The sequence below is a fragment of the Homo sapiens genome, chromosome 1 (assembly GCF_000001405.40).
Source record: "Homo sapiens chromosome 1, GRCh38.p14 Primary Assembly".
In the NCBI taxonomy this organism is placed as follows: domain Eukaryota; kingdom Metazoa; phylum Chordata; class Mammalia; order Primates; family Hominidae; genus Homo; species Homo sapiens.
This window is the reverse complement of record NC_000001.11, coordinates 69,170,021-69,191,597: the sequence shown is the minus strand read 5'-3', so window position 1 is coordinate 69,191,597 and position 21,577 is coordinate 69,170,021. Positions and strand designations below refer to the sequence as shown.

The following is a 21,577-nucleotide window of genomic DNA, read 5'->3' as shown; positions in this document are numbered from 1 at the left end:
TCTGGCAAAACACTGGGATACTGCTATAGTGAAGCCAAATGGCCTGCATTTTTGTTCACAGATTGTACATTGTTCTTTTCTTTGGCACCATGGCTTTAGCCACTTATCATCTTTATGGAACTGATTCAAAAAGATTTGTATGACTAATCCACATTGCTAAATAATCTGTTATGGTCTAATCCTTGGCAATTCTCAATTTATCCAGAATTCATGAGGAAGATGAATGTCATTGGCTTGAAAGCCATGAGAAGTGAATGCTGACTGTATTCTGCCTGTCTGAAATAAATCAGAATACATACTAATCTCTGTTTTTCCATGATTATCTTTGGTTAAAAAGAAAAAGGATAGTTGAATTAAACTATCGAGCATCTTATGACATGTACAAAGTAGATCGTGGCTTGCTAACACCACAAAAATGATTGGAAAATATAATTAGAGTGTATAGATCTGACAATCATCAAGTAAAATTGTCCTTGTTCATCAGTTTAATAATGAAATGACTATTTTTTAAGAATTTTATTTCCCTCACTTCTGAAGTCAGTGCAATGCTGTTCTCCCTGAAATAAAAATAGAATAACTGAGCTCTGAGTACTATTAATAGAGGCATACCAAGAAGAAAAATAACGGACTCAAAAGGGGCTGATTGTTTTTCATAAAAGTGTTTTTCATAGTTTACCTGACATATGTGAAAGACAGCATGCTAAAAATTGGGAATGTCACACCAAGGAATCTTATATATTACAAGTCACAAACCAGTGACAGACAGACTGAATTCAACTTGCAGATGGCTTTTGCATATCATAAGGTTCATTTTCATTGTTTTTTTTAAGTTATCACAATAAAAACTTAGAAAATTTCAAATAAAATTTAAACCATTCTGTCATGGAAACAACATTTAACCCACATTAAGATTTGTCTACTATAAAGTCTCTAAGATCATATAATATGTATAAATTAATAATCTTTTTTTCACATATCAGTTTTTAGATTTAAAAATTATTTTCCACCATTTTTCCATTATATTGTCATTTTTCCTCTTAAGTATACATCCCTCCAAATTATTTTTGTTTATTGTGTATGTCTAATTCCATAAGATAAATACCAAGTTCTTTTATTTTTCATCTTGTTTGGAAAACAAAGGCATTCAAGGCTATCCATTTTCTCAAGTGTATTTCTTATATGTTTTGATATAAGATATTCTCCTTTTCTTTCATGCCCATAATTCTTAATATCAGTTTTGATTTTTCTTTTTAATCTAAGTTATTTATTAGCATCTTTCAAACTGCTAGGATTTTTTAACACCCTTAAATTATTTATTTCTAATTTGATTGGTTCAAAATCAGGAAATATGCCCTGAAAAAAAAGTCAAAATATTTTTAAAAGTATAGTTTTTTAATGAAGGCAAACATCAAATAAAATTCTGAATATTCTTTGATGGCTGTAATATAATATAATATTATATTATATTATATTATATATTCCTTAAATCAAACTTATTGATTGCACCATGAAAGTCTTCTGTTATAAATTCACAATTCTTTTTAAAAATTTTATATTTTTAACAGCGTTTCCTTAGGTAGTTAGGTGCTATATTGTTTGAAATACATAGTTCATGACTTTTAGGCCATCATGTTGAATTTTGCTTCTTATCATTACACAATGATCTATCTTAGCCATTTTTTTGTCCTTGCAACATTAAATGCCACCTTTTCTGGCATTATTATTTCCATTATGGTTATCTAGTTATAGCAATTCTTTAGTATCTCTATGCCTAGCTATACTAGTTAGGACACAGGTTGGGCTCCTCTAAAAATAGACAGTTATTTTCATCTCACAAATATGAAGGTAAGTGGTCTGCAGTTTAGTTGATAGCTCAATAGTGTTAAGGTCCAAGGCATCTATCTTCTCAATTCAGAGTCCATCTTGAATTCAGAAATAGTTCATCTTCTTCTATCACATCCACATTTCAGCTAATAGGATGGAAAAAAGAACAAATGGGTAGATAGGACCCTCACTTTCAAGGGAATGACTTGCAAGGTGAAAACATCATTGTCTTTTTTATCCATTAGCTAATAGCTTATATTTTAACATTTCCTTATTTTTGCTGATTTAGCTAAGCAATTTAATTATTTTACACCATGGAATACTATGCAGCCATAAAAAAGGATGAGTTCATGTCCTTTGTAGGGACATGGATGAAGCTGGAAACCATCATTCTGAGCAAACTATTGCAAGGACAGAAAACCAAACACCGCATGTTCTCATTCATAGGTGGGAATTGAACAATGAGAACACTTGGACACAGGGTGGGGAACATCACACACTGGGGCCTGTTGTGGTGAAGGGGAGGGGGGAAGGATAGCATTAGGAGATATACCTAATGTAAATGGCGAGTTAATGGGTGCAGCACACCAACATGGCACATGTATACATATGTAACAAACCTGCACGTTGTGCACATGTATCCTAGAACTTAAAGTATAATTAAAAAAAACTATTTTCTCCCTGGATAATTTACAAGTTATGCTATATATTTCTACTCTTTTTTTAGGTACATAACCTCTAAAATATAAGCTTAAAAAATTAGCTTAATTCCTACACAAAGATGCTCTTTTGTAATAAAAAATACATTTCTGCCCAAAGAGAGACCTGGCCTTTGCACCCAGTTTCTTTGGGGTAACCTGAAAACCCTCGTAATTTCTCAATAATAGAAATGACTTTGTTATTCAGTGGGCTCTTTCGACTACATTTAATCGTTTATGCTAATGAGATGACTTCTGTCGGGCCCCTTAGATAGTGTATGCAAATAAGATGGCTCAGGATAGGGGCTGGCCACATTAGAAAGAGCAACCATGTGATTAGAGTTCTGGCACTTGGAGCCACATAACATCAGCCCGTTCCCCTCCAGGGAAGGGTGGTAGTAGTGGAGACTCAGTCCAACCACATGAACAGCAACACACCCAACCTACCTCGCTGATCAAGCCTCAGGCTTGAAACTCTGGACACCAAAGCTGCGGTGAGCTGCTTGGGTTGCCAATACCCTCTGTATGTATCTCCATACATCAACTCTGGGAGGATAACACAACCCTGAGAATATGGAATCTTTGTGTTCAGAACACTTGCAGTCTTAATTTCTGCCCTATGCGTCCTTTCCTATGGCTGGTTCTGATTTGTATCCTTTTGCTATAATAAAACTGCAATCTTAAGTACAGCACTTTCTTGAGTTTTGTGAGTTTTTCTAGCAAATCATCAAACATGAAGAAGTCCATGGAGACCCTCAAATTTGTAGTAAATTGGTCTGAAGTTAGGATGGCTCTCAGGACATCTGAATTTGTGGCTGGTGTCAGAAGTCTGGGCAGACTGAGAAGATTTATAGGACTGTGTCTTAACTGTGAATTTGCCTAATTCTCTGTAATCTATTTCACTGCTTCTCCTCCACTCTCCTTAATAAACTGAGACCATAAGAACACTTTCACTACTCTCTCTCATACTATCTCTCCCTCCAAATGAAGTGATTAAAATGGTTTACACCCCCTCTTTTTCCTACTCTTACCTCAATTCTTTCTGACAACGTTTATTACTCTTATTTCTGAATTATTACTAGAATTTATCTGGAATGTGTTTCCTGTATTTCAGGAACCTTAGTTTAATATTACATTGCTATTTCCAAATGATCTGTCACTACTCATTTACATTTAACTGTAAGCTTTATGCTCATCATTTATTTCCTTCCCAATTCATTTTTTTTCTGTCTTGAGTTCTTGTTTCTCCTAACATTTGTTTAATAATTCAAGTTTTTCAACATTTTTCTCAAATGTGGTATAAGAGTAGAGGTCATTCATTCCCATTTTCCTAGGAAGTACTATTGCTTTGGTGTGGATTATTGATAGTGTCATCTTTCACATTCAGTTAGAATGATAAATTATATGCCAGTCCAATTTTCCTAGAAAGTCCTAGTTTATGCTTGTTGCTGTGGTATAATCATTAAGAGTGCCATCTTTCACTATCAGCTGGAATGATAAATTATATATTATTGCCCTATGTAAGGGGACACACATTTTAAATTCTCAATTATCTCTGTATGTATGTATGTATGTATGTATGTGTGTATGTATTTATCTGTCTATCTCTCTATTCTATCTATCTATCCATCTAATATCTGTCTATTTTGCTCTTACATGTTAATACATTGACAAGGTATAGGTTTCTGGGGTTTTAACTCTTATGTATTACTCATTTGTATTTAATTCCACCATTTTCTAGTTTATTGTACTATTGTAAGTACTTTGATTTTTCTTTTTGAGCCTTTAAGAGCTGCTTCCCTTTATCTTTAAATTTAGAAATTTTTATGCCTAAGTCCATGGTCTTTTTTATCACTCATCCCAGGAAATCAGTACATCTTTTAAATTTATAAAATTAAATCTTCTGTTATCCCAGGGATATTTTTGTTGAATGAATGTTAAATTAGCGTAACCCCTACATCTGTTCCTCTTTCTTATTCTGGAAATTCTATTATTGGCATGTTATATCCCAGATCTATCCTTAGAGTCTTTTATCTTTTTCATCAATATCTCCATTTAAAAATGTTTGCTCTAAGTTTTCTTTGATCTTCTAGGATACTAATTCAGTTCTCAACCAAGGCCATACTTTCTTTGGTTGACTTATCAAATTGTTTAGTTTGGAATCATGTTTTTTTTATTTTTTTAATTTAAAAAAGTTATTTCTATGAGTCTTCATTTGAAACTTAAGTGTTCATAATATTTTTCTATTCAAGTTGACATTTTTTTCCTCCAACAGCTATTTTTTTCTCTGCAGCTGTGAGAACTCCTTTAATATGCTATGACTTTTTTTTTTTTTGACTGAGCACAGGGGACTTTATTGATGGTACACGACAAGGTGGGGCTCCCCCAGCCCCTCCCTCTCCAGGAGGTCTGAATGGAAACTGTGAGGAAGGGAGATTCTCAGTGAGGTGGGGGACTGAGTGTGACAGGGACTCCCCAGCAGTGAGCCTCTTTTTCCTCTCGTGCTCTTGCTGGGGCTGGTGGTCTGGGGGTCTTACTCCTTGGAGGCCATGAGGGCCATGAGGTCCACCACCCTGTTGCTATGACTTTTCTTTATCACCTTTCTAAAGCCAACTTCTGGTCTTTGAAATTTCCCAACTAGTAATATACTCACAAATAATGGGAGGCAAAACATGTTCTACCCCTGTGAGTGGACAGCACACAGCAGAGATCCCAAATTGATGGAGCTCTGAATAGTCAAGAAAGGGAATTCTTGCAGATCCTCCTAAACTGTAAGTTTAATAAGCCTCTTATCTCTACCTCCAAAGTCCAGTCTCACTGTGCTCCAGATTATTGATGCTGTGGAAAGGATGACCAGAAATTGAGAGAAGTAAGCAGGCTTGCAGTGCAAAGAAGGGCTCTGGTCCACTTACTGCTCTAGTTGCATGACAGGAAAAAGCAGAAAAGAGAACCCACCATGACCATGCCCACCACCTAATGTGGCTTGTCATCATGCTGTATCTGACCAATCAGATAAATGACACTCTTCCCTCAAGAATAATGAGAAAGGAGGCAGGACAATGAAGCCATCCCTGGGATTGGGAGAATAAAGTAAGCTTTCTTTCCCTCTAAAGACCCATCCCAGGTGCTAGAGGTGATGAAAGACATGAGAAATAAAATATAACATTTGTCATCAGAGAGCTCAATGACTAGTAGATAAATCAGGAAGGTAATCCAGACAAATAGAAACATAATGGAAGTTTGTTCAAAATGATATGTGACACAGAGAAGAGTATCGTAAGATCTACTGGATAGGCTTTATAATTATCTCCCTGAGCAGGTAATGTTAAAGTAGACATTAAAGGTCATCTTGAAAGATTAGGAGTTTACCAGGTGCAAAAAAGTTTACCTTATGCATAGAAGCAAGCTGTGCTAAAGAATCAAGACATAAAATAGCATAAGAACTGCTTATGTAACTAGAGTTCCAGATCCAAGTTTTACAGCATTGAGAGATTAAGCTGAATAAGCAATAAGTATCAGAAAATGAAAGTCCTAAGAAGTCTTCTATATCATGCTAAGGAGGTTTGAGTTTTGTCCTACAGGTGATAAAGCAAGTTTGCCACTTTTAATTTATCTTGGCCAGTCTTCCCCAATAGGTTTTAAGAGAGGATAATAATATTAGGAAGTCAGAAAGTCTTGAAAAAGGAAAAATAAGAAAAGTTTATTAGACTCTATTATAAAATGCCAAAAATATGATAGTACCACCTACTTACCACCTACTCCATCCATACAGCTCCTGGGACTTACTGACACAGTAATTAGCAATCAAGGTTACAAGGCCAAATCAAAGTTTCTAAATTCCTATTACAGACCTGATTTCAAACACACAAAGCAGCATAAAAATAAAAAATAAAAAAAATTAAAAAAAAGATTCAGGCTGCACAATTGGATAATTATTTCCTGCTATTAACAAAAACTCAGTATCAAAATAATAGTGCCAGTTTGGAAAGCATAACAAGAAAGATAAAAAATGGTGGTAATTGGAGCATCAAACCATTTAAGGTGAAAAACCAAAGGAAAAATACTTTGTGTCTTTAATTTCAATAACAATGCAACTTGATTTTTTTATTCAAAATTGCATATACAATAAGAGTTAAAGAATTCTTCTCCTTTGAGATGATGGCAATGATAACTATAGGCATTCTCAAAGGCATGGTAACAATGACTTTCAAGTCTGTGATGTTCAGAATGAATTTATCCAGTTTTCTTGAAACAATAATAAAAAGTATTGAAGACTGTGGGGCATGTACCCTATGAGGAGGAAAAATTCAATCTATTAGCATTTGATTTGAGTGTTATTTTCTATGGCTATGTTTTGTTTTCTTATTTCCACCATATGTTTATTATATTATAAATAAATTGTCTTTAGTAAAATTTAATTAGCTGGTATTTGTAAAGCTGTCTAAAGATGGGCTTTGTATAATTGCTAAGCACTTGTTTTATTACCAAGTTTCAATATTTTCTTTGTGTGCTGGCTGCATATAAGTAACATTAATTTTTAATACTGCAGTAGGAATCTCTCATTCTCCATAGCTGTAAAGAAAAAAATAAGGGTGCTGCAGAGGTTTCTGAAGCAACACTCTTAAGGAGTTAATTTCTAGCTTACATAATTATGTTCAGAATTCAGATACTTATCCAGAGCATTTTAAGGCCCTGCAAAAATCATGCTCTAGTCACTGAGTCAGTGTCATCAATATTAGCACACAGGTAAACTCAGGTTTCAGAGAACAGCATTCAGGAAGAAATGCTGCACAGTGTTGAGAAGATACATAGTGTAATTGAGAACTAGGATAATCTGGTCATAGATAAAAGTAGCCACTAGAAGAATCTATGGGGGCTAGTGTTTGCTAAGCTCCATAACTTAGCTGTCAGGTTATAAATAAAACATACCATATATTGTTCCTCAATTCTGCTCCTCACACAGACATTTATTAGATTACTATTTATTAGCAATGTTGGCACAGAATGGATTCGTACCACCTGTTGCCTACATTGGAAAAAATTCCACATCTATGTCCTTTGGATGTTCCAACCACTTAAGTTAATTTTGAAGAAGATACAGCAAAATTCCTGAGACAAGGACTCCATGTGGCATTATGCCATCCAGAAATCCTCCCCAAATTAATAAGTAGACACGGAACCAGCTGGGGTATCAAGATCACAGGTCCCATCCCAGAGGAGTCCACAGAACAAGCAAGCAAGTAGTCAAATTGCAGGTCTTGAATATCTTCACTTTTATAAATGAGATCCCTTTTAAAAAACATTATGATATTTAATAAGATTAATTCTATTAATAAAACCTTATTTTTTGCACTTACTGTTCATTTAGTAAAGTGTCAGTTATTGATTATGTAATAACAGCAGGAATGGCAGAAGCCAGGCCCTTTATCACATTGCTAGCAGACTACCCTTAGACCCTAAGGTCCTGATAGTATCACCTAATCACATCTAGAGCTAAAATTTAAATAACCATCACACACCTACTATCACAATAACAGTACTGTAGTGTTTTAAAGCAAATTTTAGGCATTATAACAGGTGTGCTGGGAAGCATATAGGATTTTGAAAAAAGGTCCCCTTAGCAAATAGTTGCTAAGGTATTTGATGTTTCAAAATTTATTTAACTTTTGTAGTCTCAATATATTCATCCATAAAGAAATGAAAGTAGTAATACATATTGCATAAGATTGTAATGAGAATTAATTGAATTTTTGAAAAGTGCTTTATAAATGGTAAAGCCTTACTTTAGGTTTTATAAAGGTTAAATGATCCTTAAAGGCAGCTGGAAGTACAATTGTAGGCAGAGATGAGGGATTTTCTTAGTCTTATTTTATGCCAGGTATTTCGCTAGTTGCTTTATTGAGAAGATAAAAATATATAATCCTTATAATCTTTAATGTCAAAATAGAAAATCTCTAAGATCCATATTCCTTAATTCAGTCCTATTTAATAAAAATTATGCTTATGCCAGAGATCTTAATAAGAGATCTCATTAGCAAATGTTAATGAAAAATTGGTGGAATACTGTGAACTCCAATACATTGCAGGAAGCAAAATTCTGGACCGCTCACTGATAAAGACAAAATTTAGGAATGTTTAGAAGGCATTTGACCTAGAGTTATTATGAAAATACACTCTGTTTCTTGTTAGATTAAGATTTGTATCAGATTTATACCTGTTCTGTAGCTCCTCATCTTAAAATGTCTTGGCTGTTTTTGAAGAATTTCCTTGAAGGTATGCAGACTTCAAAAGCTGAAAAATCTCCTCCTATGGAAATTAACTATTCATTATAAGGTTAAACATTGTATTTGTTTTTCCATGGAAAAAGTCTATTATAATTAACAATTGTTTTCTGCCCTCCCTGGGGGAGGATTATAATTTTATAACCTTCTGATGACAGAATAGACCAATGAAATGAGAATTAAAATGACAAATTCCAGTTCAAACAGAAACTTTTTGAGCAGGTATGTAGTTTCCTTTCGTTATGAATTTGTCAATGTTTTACATATGAATGTTTCAGCAGCCTGAGGCCCAGAGAAAAGACAATATAGAGAAGAGCCATAAGCACCCTATGATGTTCCCACAGCATCAGTGAGAAAAATCCCTGCTTTTGTAGACCACTGAGATTTTAGAGTCATTTGTCACTGTGGCCTATCCTGACCTGTCCTTACCCACAATCTATAATTTCATTTGTATATAAAAGGTTTAAAATTCCCTTGTCACTTTGTTAATCAGAAAGTATCATGTTCTGTATCTGGCTTTCTTCCTTTAGGCCACAAAGTGACTAAAACATTACATTGGAAAAATAATATGATGATTTATTTTCTTCAACAGCAGGTCTACCCGGATCCAAATTAAACTGGAAGCTAGAAAAGTAGATTTCTTGTACCCTATATGAAAACAGAGATGAAATATCCCTGGCAGTAGGAAAGTACTAATACGTCCCAGGAAAATCCCAGGCATGCAGTAGTCACTCAATACATATTTGTGAAATAAGTGGATAAAAGGTGATACCAATGAATTCAAGTAACAGTGACATGAAAATTGTTTTTTTTTCCCTACAATATTAGGCAGCTTTTGTAAAGTTATTGTGTAAGAAACAACTCCCAAAGTTTAATGATTTAAAAAATAATAATGAATTTTCTTATGCATATGTCTGTGGATCAGAGTCTAACAGCGCTCTACTTCAAACTATAGGTCCAGTTTAGGTCTTCTCTGCATACTTCTCTTTCTGAAACAGAGACTATTCAGAGCATTCTCTCCTAATATCAAACAAGGGAAGCATAAGAGGGTAAACCAAATCATACAACTGTAGCTTCTGGCTGCAAACCAGTGCACATTCCATCACCCAAAGCAAGGGACATCGCCCAGCTCAATATCAATAAGGAGACATATTCTCTGTCTACTCTACTGCAAAGCACATGGCAAAGTGTATGGACCTAAAGTTCTATTATAAGGAAAGTATAAAGAGTTAGGACAAAAATACTATCTAACATATTTATCCCAAATGACATTTTTTTCATGGAAATTTAAAAGCAACAATAAACAGCAGAAATCTCCTCTACAGTATTAGTTACCTCTGTTGAGAATTCTATAATCCATCTAATTGACTGGTATCATGACAAGCTAAGCCAGAAACCTTGAGACTAGTCCACTAAGAGTTGCCTAAATTCAATAGTTGTAATAGGTTGAAATTTTGAAATTGACTAATACTGACACAGGAGTTTCTGTCAGGAATAAATAATCTTCTTAAAATACTTAATTCAAAACTCAAGAAATATTTGGGAACTTTTAAAATATATTTCGAACAAGGCTTTGAAATCATATATATGTATTATAACTATAATTTATACATTAGTGAATATGTATGACTTAATGGTTAATTCTACGTGTCAACTTGGCTAAGCCATGGAACACAGATATCCAATCAAATGCCAGTCTAGATGTTCTTATTGAGGTACTTTTTAGGTAAGATTATCACTTAAGTCAATAGCCTTTCAGTAAAGCAGATTACTTTCCATAATGTAGATGTACCTTATCCAATCTGTTGCAGGCCTCAAGAGAAAAAGACTGAGATCCTCAGAGGAAGAGGGAATTCTGCCTCCAGAGTGTCTTTGAACTCTAGCTGCAACATTATATCTTTCCCGGGTCTCAGCCTGCGAGCCTGCCCTGCAGATTTTATACTTACCAGGCCCCCACAATCACATGAACCAATTCCTTAAAATGAGGAATTCCTAAAGTAATTCTTTCTCTTTGCATATTCTCATATCTTATTGGTTCTATTCCTCTGGAGAACCCTTCATAACCCAATGGCCAACATTATTTATGAATGACAGAAAAATTATGAAATAGAAGTTAACTACAAATGTAATAAAGTTATAGAATGGTTAATGCTTATAAAAGATTTTTCATTTTAAATATAAAGAAGTAAATTATCCACTTTTAATTAATTTGACAATCATAAAAATTAGATGAAAAATGCAGATACAGCATAATCATAAATTCTTCATAGAACTCATTGAATTATAGAAAAATATTTTTAAATAGATTAAATACAGAATATCAATGGAATAAAATTATAGGATATCACTAATAGAACAGAAAATCTGAGGACCACCTGAAAAGTGAAATAAAAATATAATAGACTGTGACTAGAAACCAAATAATGTCACAAATATGAGAAAAATTAGAATCTAAGTTCAAACAATTATAAATGATTCTCAAGACTCAGAGACAGGCTGCTCAAAAAGCCAGAGGGGATCCTAGAGAAATCACCTAAAAACAACTATATACTTTTTAAAACTTAACATTTCTTCTTTCTTCCTAGTGTGGGCATGGGGCTCAGAAACAAAAGCAGAGCAAAGCTTCCGTCAACTTCAGATTGCGACATGAGTTATGGTGAAGGTGGAGGGTGGGCATAGGGTTGGAAAGCATAGAAAGGTGGCCCTGACAGAAAATAATCTAAAGTGCTTCAGAGCCAAGGCAAACCTCCTTATCTGGCAATTGGTGGAAGTGTAGGGTAAGGTTCTCAGTCTTTCCATGACTATTTTCCCCAACACACCTTAAAGTGAAGCTTGCCTGTTGCACTTCCCATGAAAATAGAAATGCTGCAACCAGCCCAAGCAGTTAGAAGAGAGGAATGTTGGTGATAGACAGACTTACATCTCTGGAAATAAAATGCCTTTCTTTGCCTTTACTAATCTACCTAGTCCTTCATTCCTAAATCAGATTGGCAGACAAGTGCCACTAGACTTTTAAAGAAAAGCAATAGGCTGGGTGCAGTGGCTGGCACCTGTAATCCCAGAACTTTGGGAGGCTGAGGCGGGCGGATCACCTGAGGTCAAGAGTTCGAGATCAACCTGGCCAACATGGCAAAACTCCGTCTCTAGTAAAAATACAAAAATTAGCTGAGCATGGTGGTGCATGCCAGTAGTCCCAGCTACTTGGGAGGCTGAGGCAGGAGAATCGCTTGAATCCAGGAGGCGGATGTTGCAGTGAGCCGAGATCATGCCACTGCACTCCAGCCTGGGTGACAGAGTGAGACTCCATCTCAAACAAACAAAAAGAATAAAAAGAAAAGTAATAAACTAAAATAGAATGACCAAGATAAACAAATAAGAAGAGTTGATTTTGGAAAAAAACAAAATTCAAGGAAAAACAGAAATTTTCATAATAATTTAATTAACAGCTTCAGAGGAAAACTAAATATGATCAACAATTTTCATTTGCAATTGCAATGATAAATATGAAGTGTCTGTACTATAGAATAAATTGCTAAAATAAAAATGGCAACTAAAATTAGAAATAAAAATTAGAAGAAAGGTTAAATAGAAAAAGGAAATGGCTAAATAACAAATTAATGATCTGAAAAATAAATCCTATTAAGTCACAATTAATAAAGAGCAACATGACAACAAAATTTAAAGTGTAAATAAATGAAGCTTCACAGAGAGCAATCCAAGATACCCATTTTCCATCTAAAGGGAGTTCCAAATGAAAGAATTCAGATAATCAAAGAAAGGAAATAATAGAAAACCTTTCCACTGAGCTAAAAACGACATCAAATCTTATCTTTAAATTGTCACTGGGTGCCAAATAACATGAATCTTAAAAAAAAAATAGACATATTCTGATTTACCTAAGAACTCAAGGAATAAAGAAAAAAATTCTAAAATCTACCCTTAAAATTATCAAATTACAAAAACATTTAAAGAGATTTGTGTTAGATTTCTCAGGGGTGCCTATATTCTAGAATGGATGGAGTAATATCTTCAATCTTTTGAAAAAAAAATCTAGAAAATACTTTTGAAATAAGCATTCTATACTTAGCCAACATTTTGGTCAAACAGATGAGCAAATTATTACATATTAAGACATAATTGAAGAATTTCTATGGCAAAGTGAAATATAATCAAGAAAAATAATATGTGAAATTTAAGAGAGGATGCAAAGTGAAAACTCCAATAAAAACAGTGAAGTTTTAATAAATGTTGATGTGCAATATCAATGATAATACATGAATCTAAAGTCCAAGATGATTATTACATAGAAAATTGTGCAGAGGCAGATGGAAGAGAAGTTCCCCATTAAGTAAAACTTTGCAAAGACTCAGATTAGATTTTGATCAGATAGAGAATACAAATATTAACCCTAAACGTTGTTGAAAAAAAGATTAAGCTTCAAAATCAAAAGTAATTATTAGAAACCTAGAAATGTAGTGTATAATTTTTAAAAGTTGACTCAACAACATTTCAAAAACCTGAATTAAATAATAACCATAAAAAATATGAAAAGATATCCTAGGATCTGCCTATACAAATATTAGGCTCAGAAATTTCACGAGCAATTTGTAGCAAACTTTTAGGATCAGATAATGTTTGTATTATAATTTTTAAATCCCTGCCCCCAATTTCTTTGTGGTATTTAATTAACAACTTCTATGACAGTAAGAAATGAAACTATAAAGACCTAAGAGTAAATTAATGCAGAATAAAGGGATTTCCAAGAGATTAAATGGTAGAATTCTAGAAATTGAGATCAGTGCAATATGGACATAAGGGAAAGGTAGAAGTCACAAATGATTCCCAGTTCTAATGATAATTGTTGGATGCCATTTACTTAGAAAACACAGGAAAGGAGTGTTTTGGGTAGATAGAGGGGAGATGTTAAATTCTAGTTAAATATGATAAATACTAGAATCAAGGAATATGACACTTGAAGGCTCTGATCATTAACACCAAATAGCATATTACCAAGGCTATTGCTAAGTTACTCCATTTGCAACGCACAGCCTTCCTGAGTAAGAAGTCAGTTAATGTGGCAGCAACAACTTTCATATTTATTTTCACTCCTGTGCCTAGCACAGAAGGAGCTATGGTTCAACAGAGACACACTGATGTGTTACTGACTAACCTTAGATTTTACAACTCACTGTCAGAGTCATTTAATACTTGAATATTTTGTATGTACACAGCCTAACTGGTCATGTCTGTTCTTAGAAAACTATTTACTTTTGCATACATACATTTTTGCAGACAGATATATGCTACAAATATATATATTTGTATTTCAATACTCCACAACTGTTATAATCAAAAGAGAGACAAAATGCCAATATGCCTCAACATCATTAACTTTTCAGAGTACATAAAAGGTTGGAAAGTTTCTCAAGTAATATCACAAAAGAAGCTTAAGTATTAACAACAAAAATGGACAAGAAATAATGTATTCTGATCAAGAAGGGCTTCTTTCCAAGGAATACAAAGAGAGTTCTAAATTAAGAAAATTATATGTATATATATATATATATATACACACACATATAATATATATATGCAGTAATATATATATATATCACTGCATTCATGAATTAAGAAAAACTAACAGATGAAAAAAATTTGATGGAATATTTGTTTAAAAAATATATTAGCAAATAGCAAAAAAAGAAAACTTTTTTTTATTTGATATAATATCTGTATATCAGAATCTCCCAGCAAAACTTAAGGGTAAATAGTTTTTAAAATTACATTGAACTCAGGAACAAATTATAGATGTTAACTGTCTTAGTTCAGGCTATTATAACAAAAATACAAGAGATTGGATGGTTTAAACAAGAAATATTTCTTTTCTCACAATTCTGGAGGCTTGGATATGCAAGATCAGAGTGCTAGCATGATCAGATTTTTGTGAGGGCCCACTTCCTGGTTTCCCCAAATGGTGGAGAAAAAGAGAAAAAAACAAGCTCTCCTGTGTCTCTTCTTATAAGGACACTAATCTCATTCATGAGAGCTTCAATCTCATGACCTAATAACCCCCTAAAGGCCCCACTTTCAAATATCATTTCATGAGGAATCAGGCTTCAACTTATGAATTTTCGGGGGAACACAAACATTTAGTTTTCTAGCACCAATTGTCACTGTCATGTATCATTATCTTTCTGGATATCCCAGACAATGAAGTAAATGAGAAAAAATAAATAAAAAGCACATATATTTGAGAAGGCTAAATAAACTTTAAGGATTTACAAATGATATGTGTCTCTAAAAAAAAAAATCTGGGAGAATTGACTTGAAAATTTCTCAAAATTAATAACTGGTTTTATTATCATTGCTGGATATAAAAGATCCATACTAAAAATCAATACAACAGATTAATACAAGAAACCCCACTACTTTATACAACAGAAATAAACAATAAGAAAAAGTAAAGGGAAAATATCACTTGAATTAGCAACAAAAATATAAAATGTCTAGTAATGTACCTAGCATATTTAGTACACCAAAGGACATAAAAGAAGACTAAAGTAAATAGACACACAAAATTCACGAAAGGAAAAAGTAAATATTATGCCACCTCTATAAATGTTCCTATGTTAAAAAACAAATTCACTGTTGTCCCAAACATGATGCTAACCAAATTCTTAGTCAACTATGACAAGCTAATTCTACAATTTATTAAAAAAGAAAGAAAGGAAAAGGAAAAAGAAAGAAAGAAAAGAAACATAAATAGAGATAGTAAATAAATTTTTTGGAAAAGAGAAAAAATGAAACTTTGTTTTTGTTTTTGTTTTTTGAGACGGAGTGTTGCTCTGTTGCCCAGGCTGGAGTGCAGTGGCCTGATCTCGGCTCACTGCAAGCTCCGCCTCCCGGGTTCCCGCCATTCTCCTGCCTCAGCCTCCCGAGTCGCTGGGACTACAGGCGCCCACCAACGCCTTGCTAAGTTTTTATATTTTTAGTAGAGACAGGGTTTCACCTGTGTTAGCCAGGATGGTCTCGATCTCCTGACCTCGTGATCCACCCACCTTGGCCTCCTAAAGTGCGGGGATTACAGGCGTGAGCCACCTCACCCGGCCAAAAATGAAACTTTTTAAAATCTGTACTTAACCTTTCATGTAACAAGGAGATCCATATTTATGTGTACCTGGAGTTATCTAAGCTATAATGTTTGAGAGCACAGTTCCCACACAAAACCATCCTCACTTGTGACATCAATTAGAAGTTTACAAATGTTTCCACAACCACCCTTAAGTTTGATAATTAGCTTAAAGGACTCAGAATTTATTGAAAGTAATTATACACACAATACGATTTATTACAGAAAAAGGATACAGATTACAGTCAGCTAAGGGGAAAAGACACATAGGCTAGAATCCAAGAGGATCCAAAAAGGGAGTTTTCAATTGTCTTCTTTCTGTGGTGTCATGGATGGCACTGCCTCCTCCTGGTCACCTTTTATAACAATATGCACAGAGTATTGTCAACCAAGGAACCTCACCCAAGTCTTGGTGTCAAGAGTTTTTATTGGAGCTCAGTCACATACTACCTGCATGACTCACCTTAAATCTCAAGCCCTTCCTGGAAATTTGGCTAATACCTTTGGTCATCAGTTCCTCTGGAGTTTGGAATTTATATATCACAGCCCAAAGTCCCCATCATAAATCACATTGTTAGACTGTCCAGTGGCCAAAGCCCCCAAAGGCAAATAAAGACACTCCTATTAGGCATGACGTTCTAGGGCCTAGAGATCTCTTACCAAAAGTCAAGGGTGAAGTTCAGACTTCTCCTTGGTAAGGATAATTTTTCACTACACAATATAAAAATGTAGTGTGTAACAGTTTATCCAAATAAAGAATGATGTACTAATGTTCATATAAAAGCATAGACAAAATTTCTCGGAAAACATATACCAAACAGTAAACTGTAATATGATCAAAGCTATGAAGATGCAGAGGAATATCAGGGGCAAGGAATGCAAGGAGACAGTCATTTTCTGCTCTTTGTACTTTTAAAGTGTTTGGATATTTTTTTAACAGTAAGAATCAGGGAAAATGGCAGAATGGGAAGCACCAGGGTTCTCTCTCCCCACCTAGACAACAATTGCACTGGTAAAATCTTTCAGCTGTAACAATTTGGGAACTCTGGAGAGCACTGTAGGCTTGCAACTTCCAGGGGAAGGACTGGATAGTAAATTGGGGTTAATTGTGATCATGGTCATTTTTAGCTCTTAACATAGTAGTAGCTATACATCCCCCTCCTGAATATATTAAGAGACTAATACATTTTAAATATGGCAATTATTAGTATAAAAGCTAGTATTATTGTAACAACAGTTTGCAAATGCATATTTTGCTTTCTACATAATTTAAAAGACTAATACATTTTGAAAAATTATGAGTTTATGTTTTTGAACACACAATGTATAAAGATGTAATTTTGTGACATCAAAAACTGAAAGGAGTGGGGAGAAAGATGTAAAGGAGCAATTTTTATATGGTATTGTAGTTAAGCTGGTATAAATCCAAATTAGAATGTTATAACTTTAGGATGTTAAATGTAATCCCCATGGTAACCACAAAGAAAATAGCTGTAGAATATACACAAAAGGAAATGAGAAAGGAGTTTAAATATTTCACTACAAAAAATCAACTAAGCACAAAAGAAGACACTAATACAAGAAATAAAGGGCAAAACAGCCATAAGGCATATAGAAAACAAATAGCAAAATGACAGAAGTAAATTCCTCCTTATCAGTCAGCCTTAAAAAGGAAGGAACTTCTGACATATGCTACATGGATGAACCCTGAGGTGATTATGCTGAGTAAAATAAGCCAGTCAAAAAAAAGGGTTAAATGCTATATGATTTCACTTATATGAGGTCCTTAGAGTAGTCAAAATCATAGACACAGAAAGTATAATGCTGGTTACCAGGGCCTGGGGGAGGGAAGAATTGGGAGTTAGTCTTTAACAGGTGTAGAGTTTCATTATTGCAAGATCTGGAAATGGAAGATTGTGATAGTTGCACAATATGACATACTTAATGCCACTGAAATGCAAACTTAAAGCTGCTTAAAATGGTAAGTTCTATTTTATGTCTATTTTATTGCAATAAAAAATTGGAAAAAATATTAGTTAGTATTTATCTTATGCGATTTGTCTTAGTCCATTTGGGCTGCTATAACAAGATACCTTAGACTGGGTAGTATATAAACAACAGAAATTCACTGTTGACAGTTCTAGAGGCTGGGAAGTTCAAGGTCAAGTTCCAGCAGATTTGGTGTCTTGTGAAGGCTTGCTCTCTGCATCACAGATGCTTTCTTGCTGTGTCCTCATATGACAGAAAGGCACCAGGGAGCTCTGTTGAGCCTTTTTTAAAGGGCACTAATCGCTTTCCTGAGGGCTCCACTGTCATTACTTAGTCATTTTCCAAAAACTCCATCTCTTATTACCATGATTTGAGGGGTTAGATTTCAACATATAAATTTTAGGGAGGCATATATGTTCAGACTATAGCATGATTTAAATAACAGTTTAATGAAACCAGTTTCTCCCCACTTCCACTAAATAATGTGAAAAATTATCTAAACAATATTAGGTTTAAAGGGAGACAAATTATTAGGTTGCTGGAAGTACTCTTGGACCTCAGAAACCAGTACCTAAAAATATGATATTTTGACATACTGGACTAAAGAAGGCTCGAAGTCCCTCTGACACTCCCCTCTGCCTCTCCAACACACATATCTCTCCCAAAGCATAGGATAAAAAGGATAAAACAGTATAAAAAGGAGAAAGAAAGGACAAAGTTGTTTTCTGAATTTTCTCTATGACCAATGGGAACAACTGTTTTCCTCCCCTCCCTGTTGTCTAATTATCTATCGCAGAAAAGAAGACCAAGAATGTAACCACATCTGAGCACACATGAGATCATGGCTGTCTCTCAGACTCAAGCAAATTCCAAAGAGATCTACTTACCCGTTCATCTCTGTTCCCTGTCCATTCATTCTCCCTAGCAATCTTTACTGTCTCTCAACAGAATCCCTCTTCTCCCACCTCCCAGAACTTGTTTTGTCAAGATGGGAAATAAGCTTCTGAATCTCAGTGGGTGATTGGGTCTTCGTTCTGAAGCTTCCCTCATAAACACATAAATTTATATGCCTTTTTTTTTCTATTAATTTGCCTCATGTCAGTAATTTTTCAACTTCCAGGGGGTCAAGGGCCTTGGCTCTGCATAGTACTATGCATTAATTTGGCCATGATGGGCTCTCCTATTTACTTTTGAGGAAGTGGAAGTTAAAATGAGCTGAGTGCAACTCTCGTGACTCTAAGGACATTTTTAGTGTATGTGAGACATATTCCCCCCATTTCTTTCTCTTAATCATGATCCACAGTCAAATGTCACAGGCTTCAGAAGGGCAGAGATAGGCAGAGATTGCACACTAGCCCACGCTGAAGGTCTTTTTTATGAACTACTCTTCCTAAATACATTCTTTTAAGTCAATGTTTCTCAAACTTTCACCCTTGCTCTGCTTCTCTTATCAGGCTGCAAAGCCACAGAGGGTGAGCTCATCTACCTTGAGATCATCTTTTGTAATTCGTGGTGACTCAAATTATATTCTTTGGCACCAGCTCCCCAATTTCAACTTCTGTATTCTATCTTTTTAATCTCTGTCTAATCTCTTTGCTCTGCATTATTTCTACAGTCGTTCTTGGTTTAGGTTATTTTATTCCTTAATGTCTTAACCATTAATTGAAGGACTAGGATAGTAACATAAATAAGCAAAACAGACAGCTGTAAGAAAATCAGGAGTAGTGAGGACTACAAAAAACAATAATTCTTGACCCTTTTAAAAGCATTCACAAGCAAAGTTTTGTTTGTTATTATATGTCTTTTGTTTTGCATCGTGGTGGATAAATACTTCTGTAGCTGTATTAGTCAAAATTCTCCAGAAAAACAGAACCAATAGAATATATATATATATATATATATATATATATATATATATATATATGATTTATAATTAGGTATTGGATCACATAATTATGGAGGCTGAGAAGCCCCACAATCTGCCATCTGCAAGCTGGAGGCCCAGGAAACTGGCAGTGTAGATCCCAGTCTAAGTCTGAATGTCCAAGAACAAGGAGAACTGAGGGCAAGTGAAGGTCAAAGTCTTAGTTTAAGCAGCCAGTCAAAAAGCAAATTCAGCCTTCCTTCATCTTCTTGTTCTATTCAGGCTCTTAATGGATTGGATAGTACCCACCCACATTTGACTCATCTACTTTACTTAGTCTACTAGTTCAAATGCTAATCTCTTCTAGAAACATCCTCATAGACACACCCAGAAATAATGTTTAGCCAGATATCTCATCATTCTGTGGGCCTGTTGCAGGGGAGTCCCAGATCACCTCTGTATTAGTCTGTTTTTACACTGCTGATAAAGACATACCTAAGACTGGGAAGAAAAAGAGGTTTAATTGGACTTACAGTTCCACATGGCTGGGTGGAGGCCTCAGAATCATGGCAGGAGGTGAAAGACACTTCTTACGTGGTGGTGGTGGTGGTGGTAAGAAAAAATGAGAGAGATGCAAGGGCAGAAAGCCCTGATAAAACCATCAGATCTCATGAGACTTATTCACTACCATGAGAACCGTGAGAATCTTGGGGGAAACCACCCCCATGATTCAAATTATCTCCCACTGGGTCCCTTCCGCAACACATGGGAATTATGGGAGTACAATTCAAGATGAGATTTAGGTGGGGACACAGAACCAAACCATATCATTCTGCCCCTGCCTACTCCAAATCTCATGTCCTTACATTTCAAAACCAATCTTGCCTTCCCAACAGTCCCCCAAAGCCTTAACTCATTTCATCATTAACTCAAAAGTTCACAGTCCAAAGTCTCGTCTGAGATGAGGCAAGTACCTTCTGCCTATGAGCCTGTAAAATCAAAAGCAAGTTAGTTAATTTCTAGATACAACGGGGGTACAGGCATTAGGTAAATACAGCCATTCCAAAGGGGAGAAATGGGCCAAAACAAAGGTGCTACAGGCCCCCATGCAAGTCCAAAATCCAGGGGGACAGTCAAATCTTAAGCTCCAAAATGATCTCCTCTGACTCCATGTCTCACATCCAGGTCACGCTAATGCAAGAAGTGGGCTCTCACCACCTTGGGAAGCTCTGCCTCTGTGGCTTTGCAGGATACAGCCCTTTTTCTGGCTGCTTTCATGGGCTGGCATTGAGTGTCTGCACCTTTTCCAGGCACATGGGGCAAGCTCTCGGTGGATCCACTATTCTGGGGTCTGGAAGATGGTAGTTCTCTTCTCACAGCTCCAGTAGGCAGTGCCCCAGTAGGGATTCTGTGTGGAAGCTCCGATCCCAGATTTTCCTTCCATGCTGCCCTAGCAGAGTCTCTCCATGAGACCCTAACCCCTGTAGCAAACTTCTTCCTGGACATCCAGGCAATTCTATACATCATTTGAAATCTAGGGGGAGGTTCTCAAACTTCAATTCTTGACTTCTGTGCACTCGCAGTCTCAACACCACATGAAAGCTGCCAAGGCCTGGGGTTTGCATCCTGTGAAGCCATGGCCTGAGCTCTACCTTGGTCCCAGTCATGGTTGGAGTGGCTGGAATGCAGGGCACCAAGTCCCTAGGCTGCACACAGCACAGGGACCCTCAGCTCGGCCCATGAAACCACTTTTTCCTCCTGGGCCTCCAGGCCTGTGATGGAGGGGCTGCCA

The 21,577-nt window shown here is 35.4% G+C and overlaps 1 long non-coding RNA gene across 1 annotated transcript in view; it reads right to left on the bottom strand.

Moving 5' to 3' along the window:
• Positions 1-6,594: 6,594 nt before the first annotated feature.
• Positions 6,595-21,577, bottom strand: part of LINC01707 (long intergenic non-protein coding RNA 1707) — a 129,106-nt gene continuing 114,123 nt past the window's right edge. Inside the window, exons 4-5 of the long non-coding RNA NR_146608.1 lie at positions 8,737-8,828; positions 6,595-6,812 (exon numbers count right to left, since the gene is read on the bottom strand). This is a non-coding gene — a long non-coding RNA (long intergenic non-protein coding RNA 1707). The remainder of the gene's footprint in view (positions 6,813-8,736; positions 8,829-21,577) is intronic.